At 35.4% G+C, this 21,217-nt stretch overlaps 1 long non-coding RNA gene across 1 annotated transcript in view; it reads left to right on the forward strand.

Moving 5' to 3' along the window:
- LOC105375626 (uncharacterized) overlaps positions 1-6,135 on the forward strand; it is a 58,659-nt gene extending 52,524 nt beyond the window's left edge. Inside the window, exon 3 of the long non-coding RNA XR_928380.2 lies at positions 6,074-6,135. This is a non-coding gene — a long non-coding RNA (uncharacterized LOC105375626). The remainder of the gene's footprint in view (positions 1-6,073) is intronic.
- Positions 6,136-21,217: the final 15,082 nt, after the last annotated feature.

Here is a 21,217-nt window from a genome sequence, read left to right on the forward strand (position 1 = left end):
TTCCAGAGGGGGATTCTCTGTACCTTCTAAGGCTGTCAGCAAATCACCTCTTTGCTCCAGAAGGAAGCACTGTCTTATCTTCCAATGCTGTTCAGTATAAAAACATCCTTAGAAAGATAGTCAGGAATAACAGGTGTCAGTGCCTCTGCTCACAACATAAGCAAAAATGTGAAAGATTTGTGTAAAATATCCATTTCCCAAAAATATCCACCTCTCATTTTTACATCATCTTCTATATACCATCCTAGCTTCCTACTCCATCAGGCACTCTGATTAATATGACTGATAGGGTTTAAGATCAAATTTATGTAACTTTTTCATATAACATTTAATTAAAGATATGATCAATAGGACTCCAAGCAACAGGATGAGGTCAACCTGCAGCAGTGACATTAAGTATGCCCCTAGCATTCCGTACTCAACCAGGTGAGCAAATTTCATAAGCCATCAGGGCCTGTTTTAGGAAGCCAGATTGCTTTCTCCTGAAGTTGCTCTATTTACCTTTTCACTTTTCCTGAGGCATTAATCCAAGTACAGCAGTTTGTATTAGTAATTACACTGACTCTGCCTTGGCATGCAAGAATGCCTAGGGAAATATTATCATCCATAAAACATTCTAGGACAGTAAGTTGACACTGACTTGAATGTCTTTCATGGCCAAGGTGGTATCACCTCAACTAAAGTCAAAGACAAATTTTATACCATCATTTCTAATTGGATGACGGCCATTATAGGCATGACTTCTCTAATATATATCAAGTTAGTTATACCCCTGAAAGCTCCTGTGAGTAATCAAGTGTAGCTTCATTTTGGAGAGACCTCTGTAGTCATCTGAAGGTTCCATAATCTACTGACATTTCTTTAACACATTAAAGTCTTTTGTAACCTCACTAATGTATACATCACCATGATTTGGGAAGGAAGTCAAGTCAATGTCTGACTACTGCATAAGAAGTGCAGTATTAGGGCTGTACATGATGTCCTTAGAAATAAAGGTACTTTTACAATTATTAGAACCCCGAGTATGATCTGTCAATAGGGGGCTCGGGTTAACAGTACCTTTATTATGACCTCCCAGTCAGCTGGTAGATGTTACAGTTCCATTTATGTTCAAATAATTATGACTAAATCTTGTTTTGGATGGGATTTCCTAGGCAGAACCAGTCTACCTTTTTTGTTGTTGTCCATGCCACCATCCAGGAAGCATTTGTTCACCCAAGGAATGAATAAGCAACTGTTATGGGATTGGGGTTTGGAAAGATATCTGAAGATACTGACAGCTGTTATTACATGGAAGATAGAAGAGGCCATACTCTTCAGTTTCTGATAGCCCTTTAGGTGAGATTAGGGAGAGTGATAATCAAATTACTATCAGAGCTGTCTGACAGATGAGAGCAGTCATCTAAATTATGGCACTTGATGCTGCAGTTTAGGGGAGCCACATCAGAGTGTTTTCCTTAATGAGAAAGTCTTCAGGGGTGTTTCTGAGAGACAAGGATCATTAATGTCCCTCCCATCATCATACCTTCTGGGGTCTAAGGTTCTTCCTCCTTAGGTACCATCATTATGTTTTTCTCCTTCTATCTGCCCCAAAAATTGTTATGTCTCATTCCAGCATCTATAACTTAACGTTTTCTTCAAAATTCTCTTACTTGAACCCAGAATTTTGTTCAGAAGGGTCATGTACAAAAAGGACAAAGTTTATATAAAACTTACAGAGACACATTATGCCCACCACATTGGCCTGCACAAATCACTATTGGGAGACTTGGTGCGCAGTGTACTCAGCCAACTGATCATTATCATGATCTAGAAGCATGTCAGTTTAAAAAGAGAATCCAGTTGGCTGAACCAGAATTACTATGAATACCCTAGGTTTGTTTTGGCTGTACTCAGTTTAGTAATCAGACTGGCCTAGAGCTGCCATTAGGGGAAAAAAATATTACCCCCAGAAATTTGACCTACAATCTCCAAAATTTTAAATAGGCCTATAAAACCCTTCACCTGCTTCTGAGGACAGTTGTATTCAATGAAAAATTAAAAGTACCTTACTAAAGTATGTGGACCAGAAAGAGGTCAGGAAAATAGATTTAAATTTTATCTTTTATCCTCTTTTATTTTTGAATAAACTTTTTCAACACTAGATGAAGCCCACTGCCTATGGATGGTAGGAGGCATGAAAGGTCAATTAAATACTTTGACTATCAACTTATTGTTGAGTATCTTTTGCAATAAATAGCACATGACTGTCAGAATACAAATAATTGAGAAAGCCAAAAACATGACATAGATTAGTTTCAAAGGCCACAGTGTGGTTTAGGATTTGGTTTATATGACTGGAGTGGTAAATTATAACCGGAAAGTTGACAGTGGAATGGTATCATCAATAGCATTGAGAGGGTGTCAAAGATCTCAGGTGGTCAATATGCCAGGTGTGGGCAGAGACCATGAGCCATGCAATGTGGTTTCCCTCACAGTGAGAACAAATGCTCAGCTTCTGTCAGGAGATATAAGTCTGGCATGCAGTGGTCTCTATCTCAAACACATTGAGTCTTTCATTGAAGAAGGTCTTCCCAGACTGATGGAGCATGTGTTGCCAAGTGCAAGATGATGACAAATTCAGGAAGCAATGGTGGCAATCTTAGTGATGCAGACTCAAGCAACTTAACTTTAGTTGGGCTCATCAGAGAATGAGCCATTACTGTGGGCATCTAAATGCATGATTCAAATGGTTTGATTAGTTTCCACTATTTGTTCCCATAGTTTGCAGACCAAAGAAAAGTATCTTTAATCTGCTAGTCTTTCATTTTCCAAGTGGCAGACCAAACAGTGAGGCCACTGGCAAGAGTTCAAAGGTCATTACAAATGTAATAAGGTTCTCCAACAAGGGCACTGGCCAGAGCTGTAAGAACAGTTGAGGTCCACCCACTGACTGGAACAACCGTGTTCAATTTTGGTTCGGCCTAGCTGGCACTAAGGATGAAAGGGTATACCAAGCCAGTTTATATTCCAGTTTCAACATAGCCAAACTATCAGTGAAATAAGCCTAAGTATTCATGAAATCTCTGTGAATCAAAAAATGAACTTACAAGTATGCTCGTTCAAACCCTTATGTTGTTCATGGACTACCAATGAATAACAAAACACTGTTTTGAAAGTACTAATATAAAATATGCCTTCTCTTCAGAGTCTTATTTCAACAACTCTAAAATTCTACCATGTTTTTTCTCTGTGTTTAATCTGAAAATAATTCTACATGAATGTAAATATAAAAACTGGTTCTAAAATGTAAAATGCTACACAAACTAAATATTGATGGAAGGCACATTACTGAGGGAGGCATTTTAATGAAGTGGAAAAAATAGACTTCACAACTTAAAGTTCAAGTTAAATCTCTACAAGTTAGAAAATAGAGGTCTTGGGAATATTATGCAACTTAAATTTCTTACCTAAAAAAAAATTAGTTTAACAACTATCTAACTGATTACAATGGACAAGTATACTGAATCAACATATGTAACACACCCAGAAGAGAATCTTGAAGACTGTAGTAACATATTAATTTCTTCTTCATTCTATGTTAGTGTCATGCTAACAGAATACCTCATCCATCATCGTAAATAGAATAACATTTTTCTTCTTCCAAGTAATTCTCTGAGAAGCCCATGTAGGTTCCTGGGGTTTTACCATCTCCCCAAGAAGTATTGGTCTCTAACTGTTTCCTAGAACAACAATCAAAGCATTCAAACTCCACTATCAAAAGAAAGAAAGGGTCTTTCCTGGAGATGAACCTAGGTTCAACTATAACAGCAAATAATTACAATGCATTATGATATCTTACATTTTCACAAATCTTCATAAATCATTTCTCATACTCAAAAAACACAGAAATCCTTGGAGAATAGAATATGGCAGAGAACGTAGATTTGAAGTGGAAGAAGTATTTTAAAGTAAGTCATATTTATTTATTTTCTGAATTTACAAATTACATTGTCTATGTGTCCACACCAAATAGGAAATAAAACATGCCCTCCTCTCAAAATAAGAGCTTGATTGAAAATGTGGTCTTCTCAAATATCTCAGAATAACACATGCCTCTTTGAGAGACGTTTCTGTGAAGGGGTCAAGGAGAGACTCTATTGGCCAATAGGATGCAATTATAAAAAACAAGGGCATCATGTACTGAGAACTAAATTAAGTGATTAATTCAACATGTACTAACCAAAGTAGCATTTTATATCTGTTTTAGATATAATTTTGTATATGTCTATTTTGAAAATAATTTCACAGAATACTTGCTCAATTTGGCTAGATTTTGGAGTTGCATTCTTGCTTAAGTGGCCCAATGAATCAATTCAATTTGTCCCAAAAACTGGTTTAAGCCTATTTTATATTCTCTTGAGTTGACTAGTTCATTTGTCTGGATATAAATCTCAGTTCAAAAATATTTTTGCTGAATAAGCATCACCACTTCCTGCATCTAGCCATGACGCCAATTTCAGCAGAGATTTGAAATTAGGCAAGATAATGAAATGGACTGACAATCTGGCCCAGACTCTAATTTATAGTCTTGTTTAAAATTAAAGCTAGCTTTGTCCTTGGCCCTGAGACCAGAGAAACATGGCATGTTTAGACCTATCATTAGGCCAACCAAAATAATGTAGCAACTATATTTGTCCTTGGTATCATTTATTTTCTTTCCTTCTCTGCCTTTCTTACTGTCTCTGCCTTGACAAATCCTAGTTATGGTCTCCCTGTCCATGTGTCATATCCATGTGGGGTGCACCTCCCCATGCTGCCACTCGAACACTGCCTCTGCCCTGAGCTTGTCTTCTCCTCCCACCTCTCACAAAGATATATTTTTTCCAAAGAAAATTGCTTTAATGCATTTTTTTTAATTCCTGCTTTCCATCTATCACAGTTCTCAAGAAACAGATGCTGGGATGTAGTTTGATGTGCAAGATGTGGGATTAGCCCTTGAGAAAAGAAGGGAGAGGAAGTAGGATTAGGCAGAAAAAGAAGTTGAATTGCAAATAAAGGCCTGAAGAACCCTTGGCCAAACTAGCAGGAAACTCTGAAGCAAATCCTGTTCATCAGAGCTGTACTACATTGGACCTAAATGACTAGATCCTTATACCCCCTGTTGTTCAGTTGCCACATGATGGCTCCCCTAGGTGTTGTGAACTCTGGGACAGCTGCTCTCAGAACTGTCAGCTGGAAGCAATGTGCTGACTGCATTTCCCACAGCTGGGCAGAAATTATTCTTTGAGGGTGGGTCTAGACGGAGCATCTCTGTGTCATTCTGACTCATATGATCAAGTAGATCATACCACAGTCCTGAGGGTTAATAATTTAATTCAATGCTTTCTCAAATGTATTCCTTTGAATAGATGTTAGGAGGTATTCTGAGGAAAAAATATTTTGTGCCCAAGGAATTTTATGAAACACAAAGTTAACGGGGTTCCTTTGCTGCAGGAGTTATCCTTGTTAATTTTAACATATTAGCTACTATACAGTGAGACACCAAGAGAAAAGCTACAGTGGACATTCCCCAAATATATTTATATGCAGAAGCCTTAATTTTCTCCTAAAATAAATTTAATATCTTTTAAAACACTAATAACCTACACTGCACAACTTTAGGAAATTTTCTTACGGGACACAAGTTACAAAAAATATAAAATTTGCATTTCTCAGAAGACTTCTGAAAATAGAAGTCTTTGTTGTTTCGAGACATGGTCTCACTCTGTTGCCCAGGCTAGAGTACAATAGCACCTCAAGTGATCCTCCTGCCTGGGCTGGGATTGCAGGCATAAACCACTGTACCCAGCCTGAAAACAGAAAGTCTTAACACAGCAAGATTATTTATGTAAATGCTGTGAATGTAAGTGCCACAAAGGCGAGTGTTAAAAGGGATCCTTAAGGATATAGTTTCTTTGAAGCCATTGAAAGAAGGCTACTGTCTGCTCTATTTACAGAAAAATAAACTAGGATGAAATGAGATTCTTGCTCCAGGAAAACAGAGTAAAGTTAATACATCAGGAAAATCTAATCAATGTCTGTTGTGCTTTAGCCTTTTCCTTCGAAGAGAGTGGTCATTATACCAAAAAGTTTAGGACAAACACCACAAATAGAAAATTGGAATACCAGGACAGGTGAGAATATATTTACTAAATCTATTAATTATTGTTACCACAGTTGAAATTGCTGATAAATCAAAACTTTTGTCAGTAAATGTTGAAGAAGAGACAAAAGTTTCATTTTAGAAACCATAAATTTGTAAGCAATCTGTTGAGAGAAAAATCTGTAATATCATATCAAATAGATGGTTTGTAAACATTAAAAACATTAAAATTCTGCCACTTATTAATGATGACAAAATAACTTGATTTTATTTTTAAATTATTATTTTATTGGCAGATTAATATAATATAGGCATTGCTAAAGTTTTGTTGAACACAAGCTATTCTAGGCAGTTTATGATCTTCTGGTGAATTATATGATAAAATATTGACAGTATTAATGTTATTTTATGGATTCCTCTCTGGTAAAATAGTTTCCTAAAGAATATTGATAATTTGTTGATATTTACTTAAAGGAAATACTATATTTACATGCCACTGAACTCTGCCATGATTTTGTTTTTACGAACTTTATCTTTCCTGTTTGGCATTTCTATCAGCAACATAAATGAAAATATAGATAGCAGGCTTATCATATTCTCAAGCAACACAAAATTACAGGAAAGATCTTATGCACTGGTATTCAAAATCCAAATTAGAAAATATTACTGTAGCTAAAATCATAGCCTCAAACTGAGATCAATTTCACAGGAACATATATTAATGTATTTATTGGTCCAATAAATCCCTGGCACAAGCATATGCTGGATATGGTCAGACACTGATAAAGTTTACAGAACAAAGATTTAGAAATTTTAGTAGGTTATAATTGTAATATGTTTTAATGCTGTAAAGATGCTGTTTAAAAGCCTCACATAATGTTAGATAGAAATAATATACTTTTTCTGTTCAATGATTAAATTCAGACATATTTTACTTTGCCTTGGAAGTCCCACATCTGTAGTATATTCAGTCTTGGACGTGGTATTTTAATAAGGGGTTGGCAAACTACAAATCTTTGAGGTATAGAAACCAGGGTGTAATGGTGCTACATCAAAAAACGTTTGAAGGAACTGTTTATTTTAGCTTGGGAAGGCCAGACTAAAACATTAATATTGGTATTGGATAGGCTGTCATAAGTAAAAGGGAATAAACTTGTACTGTGATGCTTCAGAGTAAAAGATAAAGAAGGTGTTTGTATGCTTGTATATTAGTCTCCTAGGGCTGCCATACAAATTATCACAAGCTGGATGGCTTAAAGCAACAGAAATTTATTCTCTTACTGTTCTGGAGGTTGGAAGTCCAAAAGTGAGGTGTGAGCAAGCCATGCTCCCTCTGAAGGCTCTGGGGAAGAATGCTTCCTTGACTCTTCCTAGTTTTTTGTAGTTGCCAGAAATCTTTGGCATTCATTGGCTTGCAGTTGCATCTCTCTGATCTCTGCCTCTGTTGCCATATGGCATTCTCCTCTGTGTCTTCACATGGCCTTCTTATAAGGGCATGAATCACTGTATTTAGGACCCATTCTAATCCAGTATGACCTCATTTTAACTAGTTACATTTGCAAGTCTTGTACACACAACTCTTGTTGTCTACAATGATAATGGAGCACCTCATGAAGCAGTGAGCTTCCAGTTATGGAGTCAATTCAAACATAAGATGAAATTCCTAAAAGAGTCTCTAGCATGTAGGGCTGAATAACTGAACTTGACATTATGGGAGAAGTAGAACTACATTAGGTCTTTTATGAGCCTAGTGAAGTAGATTTCACCTTTCAAATATTCAGCTGAGATTCTATGATTTGTAAAGATGATAAGATGGGCAAGTGAAATATACAAAGCAAGATGAAAGGATAGTAGTAAGTAAGGTTTACAACCATTTTCTCTCCTCTTTTTTTTTCAATTTAATATTGACAGTTTCCAGATTTGCTGGTGGTGGCTGTTATCTTAATTTCAAAATTATTTCACTGAGATGTTCATGAATTTTTGACAATGAAATTGCAAGCTGCTAGAATATGGCTTAGTGTCACTTAACTGCATTTTTCTGAACTCTGTATTACTATTAAGATTAGGGAAAAAAGGTTGACAGTACTTTTAATGAAGTCCACCTCAGTGCAGTCAGTATTCACTGAGGGCCCAGCAAGAGCAGTGAACTGTCATTAACATAATTTAGTCTTTGTGGAGAAGTGATAATTCCAAAAACAAAGAAATGAAAAAATTAAATCTTCACAATGCCTTTTTATACTTTTACAAAAATGCTTTGATCTCAGACTTTCATTAAACCCTTAATCAAACGTGTTTCCGTATTTCTGACCAGAAATGCAACTTATTTCGTTAGTTGTCATTTCAAGATGCCTTCAGTCTGTGTAGTTGCTGCATACCTACACCTCTCACATTTCAATCCAGCCCTCTGAAGGGCTCGGTTAAGTTTAGATAAGCAGTGACTTCAGAAGAAAATGAAGTCATTGGCAGAAAAGTTGTTCCCAACACAATTGAGTGTAGGTATTCCTCAAAGATATTGACTCCCTTTCATAAAGTATCAAGACTACCCACAAATATATTTGAAGAAATCAACGAAGGCTTCATAGGACTTTTACCTAATATAGTTGAATAATTCTGGGGGAAATAACTTATAGGCAGAAGGATAAGGAGAATGGAAAGTAATTATGAATAAACTCCACCCAGCCAGGAGTATATTAATAAAATAATTAATAAAAGAAACATGTCCTAGCTAGGGAATTATTTGGGATCCAAGAAACCACCAAAGTCATCAATGCTTAAAAGCTGACTTATTTGTCTAAGAGGTCATTTGAAACCCAAACAGTTCACTTTGTTTATGGATTTTTCTGGATTAAGCATATCAATATTCTATTTTACTTTGCCATTCTGATACATCCCCTTTGTGCTACTCTGAGGAATATTTAGCTTCCAGAGGGTGTTAAATACCGTAGCAAGGTTTTAAAATACGTTTCACAAATATTCCTTTAACTAACAGAGAACACTTGACTTAGGGGAAAAAAAGACCAAAGATGTACATAAAACATATCTTTTAACATCTGAAAGATGAACACATGACAAAAAGAATGTAAATATATTAATTACAGTCTAATTGAGTAAAAAGTAAAGGATCTCACAAATTCTGGGATCTTTGTTTTGATCACTGACTTATCCTCAGTACCTAAAGCAGTGATGGGCATATCATAAACAATAAATATTTGTTTAATAAATGAATAAAGCCATAAGATGACATTTCATTTTAACCTGAAGGTTTTTTAATAGGCATGTTCAAAGTTAGAGCTAAGCTGTCTGCTGTAGTAAGATTTAAATATTAGAATAGCTGACCATTTGACTAACAAATATTTAAGTATTAAATGAGTAGCTCACCAAAATATTATTTAAGGTAATTTGAAGCAATTGTGGAAATCTTCAATTTTTAACTGCTATTCCTCCAGCATTGACTTAGACACTGACAGGTGTTATTATACAGCAGAGGTAGAGAATCATGACTTCCCTGTGTGGAGAACATGTTAAGGGAAAGAAACAGATAGTTTAAGCCCTCTGAATAAGACAGCATTGAATCTAAAACTTCAGGTACAAAGAGAAAAAGACAGGGTGACAGGGGGTGGAGGGCAGGGGAGAGTTGCTGAGGCAAAATGGTATAAGGGAAAGTGTGCAGTTTCTAATCCATACAGGTTTAAGTTGATTCTGATATATTCAATTTTTTTCTATAGCCTAGAGCAAGCTATATGTTTCCTAGTTTACTTATCTGTATGATGGGAATCATAATTAGTAATATCTTAGGCGGTGGTAACATGCATTAAATGAGATAATCTACATAAAGCACTTCACAGAATCCCAGCTACAGAATGTAATCTGCAAATATTAGCATTCGATATCAGCACTGTAATATGCTTGATTTGAGTAATGGTATATGCATACTGCTTTCAGCTCTCATGCCAAAATAGCAGAAGGTTGAGTGGTTTCCACGACCATCTTTGAAAATTCTTCTCCCTCTTGGTTTTGGGAAAGCCTTGTCTTGATGAACTGACGGAATAAATCTCTCTTAAATATTACATATTATGATTTTAATATATTAGCCATAATTATGGGTCAATGTTTCAATAACTTGTTTTGTTGAGTTGAAATAATAATGGAATTTATAGAAAATACAGACTACACAGGATGGAACTTTTGGTCGGAGTCAAAACTTTAAATGGATAACTTCATTCTCTTCTTCCCCACTATGCCCATTTAATGTTTTTGTTTTCCTTTGTGCTACTGTGAATATTGAGAGATAAGCCTTTTCATGTGTTGCATCACCCAAGCATATAAAATTGGTTTTCCCCCAAATATTTGAGGTTCTACAAAATTCACATTAGCATTTTATAAAGTACTTTTCTTTTAATTAAACACCCAAGTATATGCTGTAGAAAATTTATTTCACATGTAAATAACTCATTTGTACTCAACTAAATTGTCATTTGGTACAGTTTTGATATTCAAAAACTTTCTTTAATTTTATGGTGACTTTTATTTTAAATAAATTGTTTCTTTTGTTAGCCAGACATTAATCTGAATCCTCAAGGTTCAATTTCAGATGTAAATGTCAAATCCCAATGTTTGACATCAACCTTTCAAATTTCCTCCCTCACTCTCTACCTACTTAAAACATTTATACTATATAATATCAGATTCCATACCAATCGAGATTATTGGACCCAAGTTATTAAAGAATATACTCAACAAAGGTTGCTTATGATGCTACCATATTATATTATAATAACAGCCATGGTACTCCATTTTTTTTACCTTGACCAGTCTTAAACACGTCTTGTGTATCTTATGTCTCCATCAAACACACACACACACACACACGGACACACATACAACACACTGACAAATAACCAAAATAAATTTATAAGGAAATGATACCTAAAGTTATCGTAGGCAAATGTTCCCTGATGTTTTTTCTTTTCTGTTTTATCTATTTTATTCTACTTCTATCCCTTCTGTTTTATGTAAAATATAATGCTTGTTGAGAATTACCAAATTGGATTCAAGATCTACTCATTGGTCACAACAGGCATTTTAAAGTGAATGAAAAGCGAGACCAATACCAGACCCTTGCTTAACACATATTGCTAAGCAGCAACCAATCCAGTTCTTTCCATGCAGATAGACAGCTGTTATTCCAGAAACAGGAAAGCCTCCTTCTGAATAATGGCACTCAATAGCATGTCAGAATGTCTGTGGCTACCAGTGGCACATTTCTGTCCTGAAGACCAGACTGTCTTAGAACTCTGCACTCTTCCAGCTATAAGTAAGGGATAGTTCCAGTTTATGCCTGCTCTCCCAAAGTTCTATCCAGTTTAGCCCTTGTTCCATGTTTTTCATTTTAAATATTTATAATTAGTAGGCATTTTATGTTATTATTAATAGTTGCAATAGAGTGGTCTGGGACGACATGATAATACAAAGAATAGGATTCTCCAATAAGACTCACATCAATCTGAGATTTTTATATAGCATACAGATACTCAACAATTTTAAGGATATAAGCAATTGCAAATCACTGGCACAGCAGGAATGGTCCAGGTCTTCCAAGGCAGCTTCCCAGGTCCTTTCTTGCTATATAGCAGAATGCACTCTGGGGTCAAATATGCAGTCTCTAAGTGATGTGTGAGGTCATATCACGCAGAAGGAACCATTTTGGTCAGGAAACACCTTCCATTCATCCTTATATAATTACATATCTTCTGTAACATTTCTCAGGAAGCCATATCCCATAAATCAATAGTTTCCAGGTTTGCTTACCATAAGCAATTCTAGATAGATAAGACACATCCTGCTAAAAGCATTCCAAAGATAAGGACTTTCCAGCAAAAAACATTATTTTGTTTGCCAGTAGGGCTACATTACCATGTTTACAAGGAAATGTTTCAGGGTCAACCTCTTTCTCTCTCGGGCATGCCTGCCCCTGCGTAAGAGAAAATATAGATTGCAGACCAAAATATTAACCATTTACTTCCCAGATGTCCTTGATGGGCTTCCATTTTTTATATCCAGGTTCTTCCAGAGTCTTGTCTAATGACCTGTGAGATGTGTGCATCGTAACGGAGCTCTCAGTTTAACACTATGTTAAATAGGAAAGCCTGCAAAGGAAATAACTGGGCTCTCTTTTCTTGATGTTTCTAGGTTTAGCATTACTAATACTTCTCTTTCAAGAATGGCTGATGATGTGCTCTGCAACTGAAAAGGCTAGGAAAAGCTAAAACCTTCTGGTCTTCAGTGGGGGTGGAAAAGTGTTCAATGCTACTACACCTTCTAGCTATTTGGTGTACTTGTGCTGTGACCCATGCCAACTCTCTGATATGCACAAAACTGCCGTATGTCTTGTTTTTGGTGTCAGTGGGAAACGTGTCACGTTTATAAGGAATAAATGCTGAGCAGACCTACTTTAGATTGTATACAACACAAACTGTACATCTTGCTACAGATGTTTGGTCATGTATTCCATGGTTACAATCTAAAATTTATTTCATTCTTCACTAAAATTTATTTTGCAATTAGTTTTTGGTACCAATAGGAGCCTAAAAACTATATATTTAATTTTTAACAAATATAAACTTTTTACTTCTGAAGAAAATTGATATGTAATTTGCCTAATTTTTTGTCATCATTTAATACATTTAACATGCACTAAGAGATGGGGGTTGGAGTAGCAGGACACAGTGACATCACAGAACACATGAAGACAAGATTAACTGAAGAAGCATTAATGTCTAATTGAAAAGTTAGTGAATGTTTTGAGATTATCTTTTAAGGTGAGAATTTAAGTACTACTGAAGAATTCATATTTAATAATACTCTGTGAAGCAGAATTTTCATTTAGATCAAATGATAGCTTTTTTAATTAATTTTGCTCATTTACTTATGCATGTACAAATTATAAAGCAATTGCTATTAATTTGATGGCTTCATTAGCAAAAAAATGAGCATAAACATTTAGATGATACAAATTTTATATTACTTTCATTAGATGTTTCAAAGAGAAAATCTATTTAATTCCAAAAATTGGCATTTTTTCACTCAATTAATTAGATCAAATAAACCTTTTAGAATTTCATTTCATTTAAAGTAAATGTCTAATATTATTGTAAATATGTTTCTGTAATAGTTACAAAGTTTATCATTGAAGATAAAATTGTTTTTCAATGATAATATAAACACAAAACTTGGTAAATTCAGCTTCATGCATAAAGATATTATTAATAAATGAAATGTACATGAAGGTCCTAATTATATGTTAAAAATCTGAAATATTCCACCAATATAAATAGAAACCATGGTGTCAAAATTGTACATATTTTTTATCTGTATACTCACAGTGACTAAACTACAGAACTAAACTACAAATGAAGCTGATACTGAATGCAAAAAAATTTCAGAAAGAGTATTTTGCTAGAATTTTCTCTCTGCTGTTTTGTCAACAATTAGAAAATACACATAGCTGAGCCTTTGAGATGTTATCTTGTAGGTCAAAAGTGCCCTATGAATTATTAAATTTTTTATGAGTCTTCTAAATTTTAGTTGCATTTGTTCAAATTAAGTTGGAAATTTGTAATCAAACTATCTGCAAAGAGGGTAGCAAAAATTTTATAACACTCCATTTTTGAAGGTTTGAGCAAACTTTCTTGAAAACACATTTGAAAATAGACTTTTAGAAAACTTTTTCAAAAATATTAAAATTTTAGATTTATCAAGAAGCAAGAAATTGAATAAATTAAATAAGTTCTGAAATAGTATAAATTAATCATGAAATTCTATAATCACTTTGGAATAGTTTGATTCTTAGGAAGAAAATTTGAGGGAACATCTATTTTTAAATGTATAAATTGATCATTATCGGGGAACCACCCCCAATATTTCATGTAGGTTCTTTTCTATTTTGCCTAAGTGTCAGCCGGTCTGAGAAATAAAGGGAAAGAGTACAAAAGAGAAATTTTAAAGCTGGGTGTCCAGGGGAGACATCATATGTCAGCAGGTTCCATGATGTGCCCCAAGCTGCAAAACCAGCAAGTTTTTATTAGTGATTTTCAAAGGGGAGGGAGTGTACGAATAGGGTGTGGGTCACAGAGATCACCTGCTTCACAAGGCAAATGGGCACAGAGCAAGATCACAGGACCGGGGCAAAATTAAAATTGCTAATGAAGTTTCGGGCACGCATTGTCATTGATAACATCTTATCAGAAGACAGGGTTTGAGAGCAGACAACTGGTCTGACTAAAATTTACTAGGCGGGAATTTCCTCGTCCTAATAGGCCTGGGAGCATTACAGGAGACCGGGGCTTATTTCATCCCTTATCAGCAACTGTATAAGACAGACATTCCCAGAGTGGCCATTTTAGAGACCTCCCCCTAGGACGCATTCTCTTTCTCAGGGCTGTTCCTTGCTGAGAGAAAAAAATTGAGTGATATTTCTCCTATTCGCTTTGTAAGAAGAGAAATATGGCTCTGTTCCGCCTGGCTCTCAGGCAGTCAGACCTAACGGTTATCTCCCTTGTTCCCTGAACATCGCTGTTATCCTGTTCTTTTTTCAAGATGCCCAGATTTCATATTGTTTAAACACACATGCTTTAGGAACAATTTGTGCAGTTAACACAATCATCACAGGGTCCTGAGTGGACATACATCCTCAGCTTAGGAAGATGACAGGATTAAGAGATTAAAGTAAAGACAAGCGTAGGAAATCACAAGAGTATTGATTGGGGAAGTGATAAATGTCCATGAAATCTTCACAATTTATGTTCAGAGATTGCAGTAGAGACAGGTGTAAGAAATTATAAAAGTATTAATTTGGGGAACTAATAAATGTCCATGAAATCTTCACAATTTATGTTCTTCTGCCATGGCTTCAGCCAGTCCCTCCATTCTGGGTCCCTGACTTCCTGCAACAAATCATCTATACTAAAAATGTGTAAAATTGATGAAATCTGTAATTTTTCAGCATATACTTTTGACAAAACATTCAAGAGAGTCACATATAGAGAAAGCATATATAATGAAATCTTTTTTAAACAGGTCAAGAGCAAGTACTGAAAATGGTGACAAAAAGAGTATCTAGAAAAACATTTGATCTAATATTCAACATATTCAATATAAAACAAAATTAAAATTGTGATATGTTATATTAGGCAGAATTTGTTGAGTTGACAAGGTACCTATGAAGAATTATTTTCTCAATTAGAAATATTATAGTTTACAAGGTAGGATCAATTGAAAATTCAACAATTTCAAATATGTTTATCATTTTTCCAATTTTATGAAAATATTAAAAAATCATGAGGCCAAATTGAAAAAACTACATTTATTATAAAAACAAAGGAAATTAGAGAAAAATACAACCAAGCAGTTGATCAAATAATATGAATATGTATGAAAGATAAGTATTCTACTTGTGTTAATTTTTAAAGTTCAAAAATCAGTAAAGATAAAGGATTTGGGCTATAGTGTACATGAATACGCAATCTTTTAAATTTTTATTAATAACTCTATTTTTAAAAATCAATTTAAATAGAGTGATTTAATAGGCCTACCAATAAAGAACAATTTGTTGGTTATCTAATATTTCAAAACAGTAGTATTTAATATTTTTAAAGCCCTTGTTCACTCTCAAAATTTACCAGTTGGAATATATATAGAATGTGCTTAAATGTGTTCATGCAGACTATTCTGTGAAAAATATGTTTCACTGTCATAAAACACAATTATAGAGCTACCTTCTATATACTTTTTCTTGACAATTCATAATGCAGAGGAGTACAGCCATTGTTCTGGAAAGTCCTGCAGCAATTTGTTAAATTTGATATAATCAAGACGCTCCCAAATATATTTGACCACAGATATAATTACATCTAACACCTTTTAAACATTTCTAAAATCTGTGTTCTACAGAACAAATTTTGGAAAACGTAAGAAGAGCATGATCTTTATCCACTCTGGCTGGTTATCTCACTGTCATATTTCATTTGCATCTTTGTACATTCCTGAGAAACTTATCCAGCTATTACATTCACGTACTGAAAACTGCTCTCAGTAAGAAAAAAAGGTCCCAGAGAATAAAGATCTGTTAGTGATGAGTTATGTGGGAAATGTAGAAGGATATATCCATGTTATAAATAACAGCATAGAATCAAAGAGGTAGGATAAAATGACCAAATATCTTTAAACCAAATCATCTTTTAAATCAGATAAACAAAAATGAACTCCTCGAGCTCTCAGCAAGGCATGTCATGTTATTCTGTTGTAGTTTTTTGTTTGTTTGTTTCGAGACAGGATCTCGCTTTGTCACTCAGGCTGGAGTGCAGTGGTGCGATCACAGCCCAGTGCAGGCTCAAGTGATCTCCCCACCTCAGCCTCCTGAGGAGCTGGGACTACAGGTGCACATCCACCATGCCCTGCTAATTTTTAAATGTTTTTGTAGAGACAGTGTCTCCCTATGTTGCCCACTTTTCTTCTAGTTTAAGCATTAATTTTTCAAAAAAAATTGAACAAAACACTTACATTTTCATACTATGATTTCCAGAGCAAAGAGGACCTGTTGCACTATTATTCAAAAATTTGTTTACACATTTTCTCCACTCTTACTTCTTTGGTTTATTTTAGCTAAGTTCTCTGCTGGTAATAAAAGTCATCCTGAAGAAAGATACAAAGTCTAAAAGAGAACTAAGTTTTCTACAAAGTTTATAAAATGTAGCCACATGTGCAGCACGTTAATATTATAGTGTAAATTCCTTTGAAGACATTGATAGGAAAAATGTGAGCTCTTACACATTATTCGGATAGAGTATTTAATACTACCACACTATCAGCTTTCTCCTAATAACAGAAAAAAGTATAAGAAAGTAAAATTCAATTTCTGTATTTGGCCAACTTGTAAAAATTATGTAATGTTTCCTGTATGTTCATATCTAATGCCCTAAAACTACTTCAACTTTATAAAATACAATTTCCCTATTAATAATTCCATTTCTTCCTATGTGTATTGGATTATCATCATCTTGGTTTCTCTTTTCAAATGTAAATGCTCCAAAAGTCATAAAATATTAATTCATATTTATTATTCATTTATTCATTCATTCACTTTGCAGATAAAGCAATGCAGATACAAAGGAAACGATGAAGTTTTAGATTATTATATGATGAGGAAGATAGACACTTTCACACTTAAATTCAATATTATCTGTTGTATTTGAGATAGGTAACAAGTACCTTGGGATGACAGCAGAAGGAGCATATCCTTCCTTTATAAGTGAGTGCTAATTAAATATGTGGGTTTTAGTGAAAGATCACAGTCCAAGAAAGAAAACAAAATTATGAAAATGGTTGGCTGGTGTATCTGAGAAAACCATTCCTTTCAGTACTTCTACCAGTGAATCAATTGAGAGAAATGATAGATCATTCCAAACTTCTGCATCTCAGAACCCTTCACACTTTTAAACTTATTGACCCCAAAAGGCTTTTGTTTGCTTGGATTATTTCCAATGATGCACTGGCTCCAGCTCACACTGGCACTCAAGAGTTGACTTTGTGAAACTTTTTCAAACTCTCTGTTCGCTGGCATCATATAGGTTGCTTGAAATTGACCATTGTGGGAGTGTTTACTCTAGTGAAAATCAGTGCACACTATAGATCAGGTTTTTTAAAATTATTTTTGGTCTGGATATTCTGTTTTTAGGCAGTTAAAACACAACAGTCATTATATTTATTGATATTTAATGTATTAGAAATTAATACAAAACACTTTAAACACAGGAATACAAAGACACCTATTCCATTAGCCATCAAGAAAAAGATATCATTATGTGTAATGTAACCTCTAAAAACTTCACTATACACTCCCACATATGATAGTATAAAAGGCCAGTAACAAGTTAGTATTATAGACTATAGACCCTCTTTTGTCAACAGCTACTTCTGTCTTTGCCTGCTGAAGTTCCTAGAATTTGTTCTAATTTTATAAGCCTGGCTTGGGCATTATTTATTCCTCACACCCCTCTCATTGCTCTGAGGTCTCTACACTTTAATCTTCTTCTTAAAGGCTTCTTCTTCCATGCATGTCAACTAATAAAAATAAAATTTGTGGTGTACTGTCCTTCCATGTCATCAGATGGGTTCAGACATTTCCAAATTTATTTCATGATAATCTAGTATTTGTATAACATTATTTACAGTTTCTTCAAAGTAAAATTAATTATGAAAATTAAATGAGACAACAGTTGTGGGGAGGGGAAAATCTCTAATAATGCCTGAAAAAGAATAGGCATCTAGCAAGTTAATTCTTTCAGTTTTCAAATAACCAAATGCAATTTGCCAAGCTCAAAGCTAGGATCTGGGGCTACACAAATAAAGTATACAGAGTCCCATGGGCACGGTGGCTCACACCTGTAATCCCAGTACTTTGGGGGGCCAGGGCAGGTGGAACACAAGGTCAGCAGTTTGAGACCAGCCTGGCCAACACGGTGAAATGCTGTCTCTACCAAAAATATAAAAAATTAGTTGGATGTGGTGGCACGCACCTGTAATCCCAGCAATTCGGGAGGCTGAGGCAGGAGAATTGCTTGAACCTGGAAGGCAGAGGGTGTAGTGAGCCGAGATCGTGCCACTGCACTCCAGCCTAGGCAACAGAGCCAGACTCCATAAAAAAATTTTAAAAAAAATAAAAAATAAAGTATACAGAGTTCCTGCCTTCAAAAAAATAGAAAGGGAAGGCAGGTGTTCGATTAAGTAATACAGAAAATTGTTGCAGATCATTTCAGTTGGGTTTTCCTGGTTTCCTCCATTCTCAATTATCCAAATTCAAACTGCCTTAACAATAATATATTATGTCAGTTTACATAATTAAAAGTCTAGAGGCATAACAGCATCCAGAATTTCTGTCGCAAATTGAACTTCTGTCCAAATTTTGTTATTCTCTTACTTCTGCCTTCTCTTGTGTGGCTACTTTGTCTTCAGATCATTGCCAGCAGCATATATCCTTTTTCAAATTCAGTGAGATAGGGAACCTACTTCTTCATGTCTCTCCCTTGAAAATAAGAAAATTTATTTCTAAGTGGTCCCCAGGGAAATCTTTTCTCAGTTTCAAAGTCCCAAAATTATTAGTCCAGTCTTTTCCTGGAAAAAAGACAGAGACTTTTATTTGGTGGCTTACACCTGTCAGGAGCCTCTCATTAATCTGGATCAATTCCCTTAATCACATTACTGCTGCACAAAGAGGAGAGATTGAAGGTCCACTCACAGGTGCTATAATGGAACATTCCACTGGGTATAAGAGGAGTACAAAGAAGGGAATGCTAGTAGTAGTGTCTCTTGTCAATGAAAATAACTAATCCTTAGGGAGAAGTCTGAAGTGGATTAAGAAGGAGTGGGGATGTAACTATTTGCCAGGCAGACAAGGTAGGAAAAGGGACTTCAAGGATTATGGCAAGTAATGCAGGCAAACTCTGTGTTTGTAGATTTGCAAGTGGTCTGGAATACAGTACATGGTGGCATTTTTGCAGGCATTATAGCAGTTGAGGAGCCAGCAGTTTGACTGAATTAAATCATGAAAAGCCAGAGTTTGACTTTGGTCTGCAGAGCCATCAAGGATTTTCAGGGGAATAGTAAGCACATTCATATTTTATATTCATCTCTGGTGACCCTGTGGAGAATGCACTAGAGGTTGCTATGGATATGGCTGTTTGTGTGTCCCTTCAAATTTATATGTTGAAATCTAATCACTAATGTGATGGCATTAGGAGGTGGGGCCTTTAGGAGATGATTAGGTCATGAGAGTAGTGCCCTCGTGAATCAATACCCTTATATAAGAGACCCCAGGAACCTTATTTGCCCCTCCCACTATGTAAGGACACAGCAAAAGGTGCCACCTATGAATCAGAGAGTAGGTCCTCACCAGACACCAAATCTGCTAGCACCTTGATTTTGAACTTCCTAGTCTCTGAAACTGTGAAAAGTAAATTTTGTATCAAGTGCAATAAAATAAGTAAGTGTTAGTAAAGTCCTGAACTAAGGCAACAGGTGCAGGGATAAAGTTGCTCATAGTATAGAACTTCAGGAAGTGGCAGCCTATATGATGTAGAAGGTAAGAGAAGAAAAAATTAAAGGAACCTGGAGATAAGGAGTGACATTATTCAATAGCATTTTGGGATCTGGAGACAAAAAAAGATTTAAGAGAGCCTTAATATTAGAGCAGGTGGAGTTTGGAGTGGCTGCCGCACATGTGGTGGAGCTAACCAGAAAGCCACTGAATTTAAGCCTCTGAAAGTGAGGAGAAGGGGTCTGGGATGTGCCTGAGCCATTTGTCTATAGGTATTAGTTAATGGTATTAAAGACAGATTGTTTAAAAATGCTGACATGTAAAGAGTGGAGAAAGGGAGAGGGGTCCACAAAGAAAACTGGGAAGAATTTTCAGAGATATAAGTACAAGTAATAAAATTAAAAGTGACCAACATTAATTTGGTTGTTAATGAAATTTCCATCGATATTTTCTTAATTGTATAAATCAGAGAATTCAAGCTCAGAGGCAGATTATGCAAGCTCTCCCACTGTTAAACAATTCATTAGGGTAGTTTAGAGTAAACTACTTCTTTAAATAAGTTTAATGTGTTATGTCTGGTTTAGAAGGTTATATGAATCAAAGTAACTAATTTTTGTATTGTATCCTACACAATGAAGAGCACAAAACTAATTACTGTTTCATTTACTTTGCAGTCCTTTAAGTATGCAAGGCAAGAGATGGATAAAACCATCAGAATGGCCAGGTGTGGTGGCTCATGCCTGTAGTCCCAGTATTTTGGGAGGCCTAGACAGGCGGATCATGAGGTCAAGAGATCGAGACCATCCTGGCCAACATGTTGAAACCCCGGCTCTACTAGAATACAAAAAATTAGCCAGGTGTGGTGGTGCATGCCTGTAGTCCCAGCTACTCGGGAGGCTGAGGCAGAAGAATTGCTTGAACCGGGAGATAGAGGTTGCAGTGAGCTGAGATTGTGCCACTGCACTCCAGCCTGGTGACAGAATGAGACTCTGTCTCAAAAAAAA

This window comes from Homo sapiens, chromosome 8 (assembly GCF_000001405.40).
Source record: "Homo sapiens chromosome 8, GRCh38.p14 Primary Assembly".
Taxonomy (NCBI): Eukaryota; Metazoa; Chordata; class Mammalia; order Primates; family Hominidae; genus Homo; species Homo sapiens.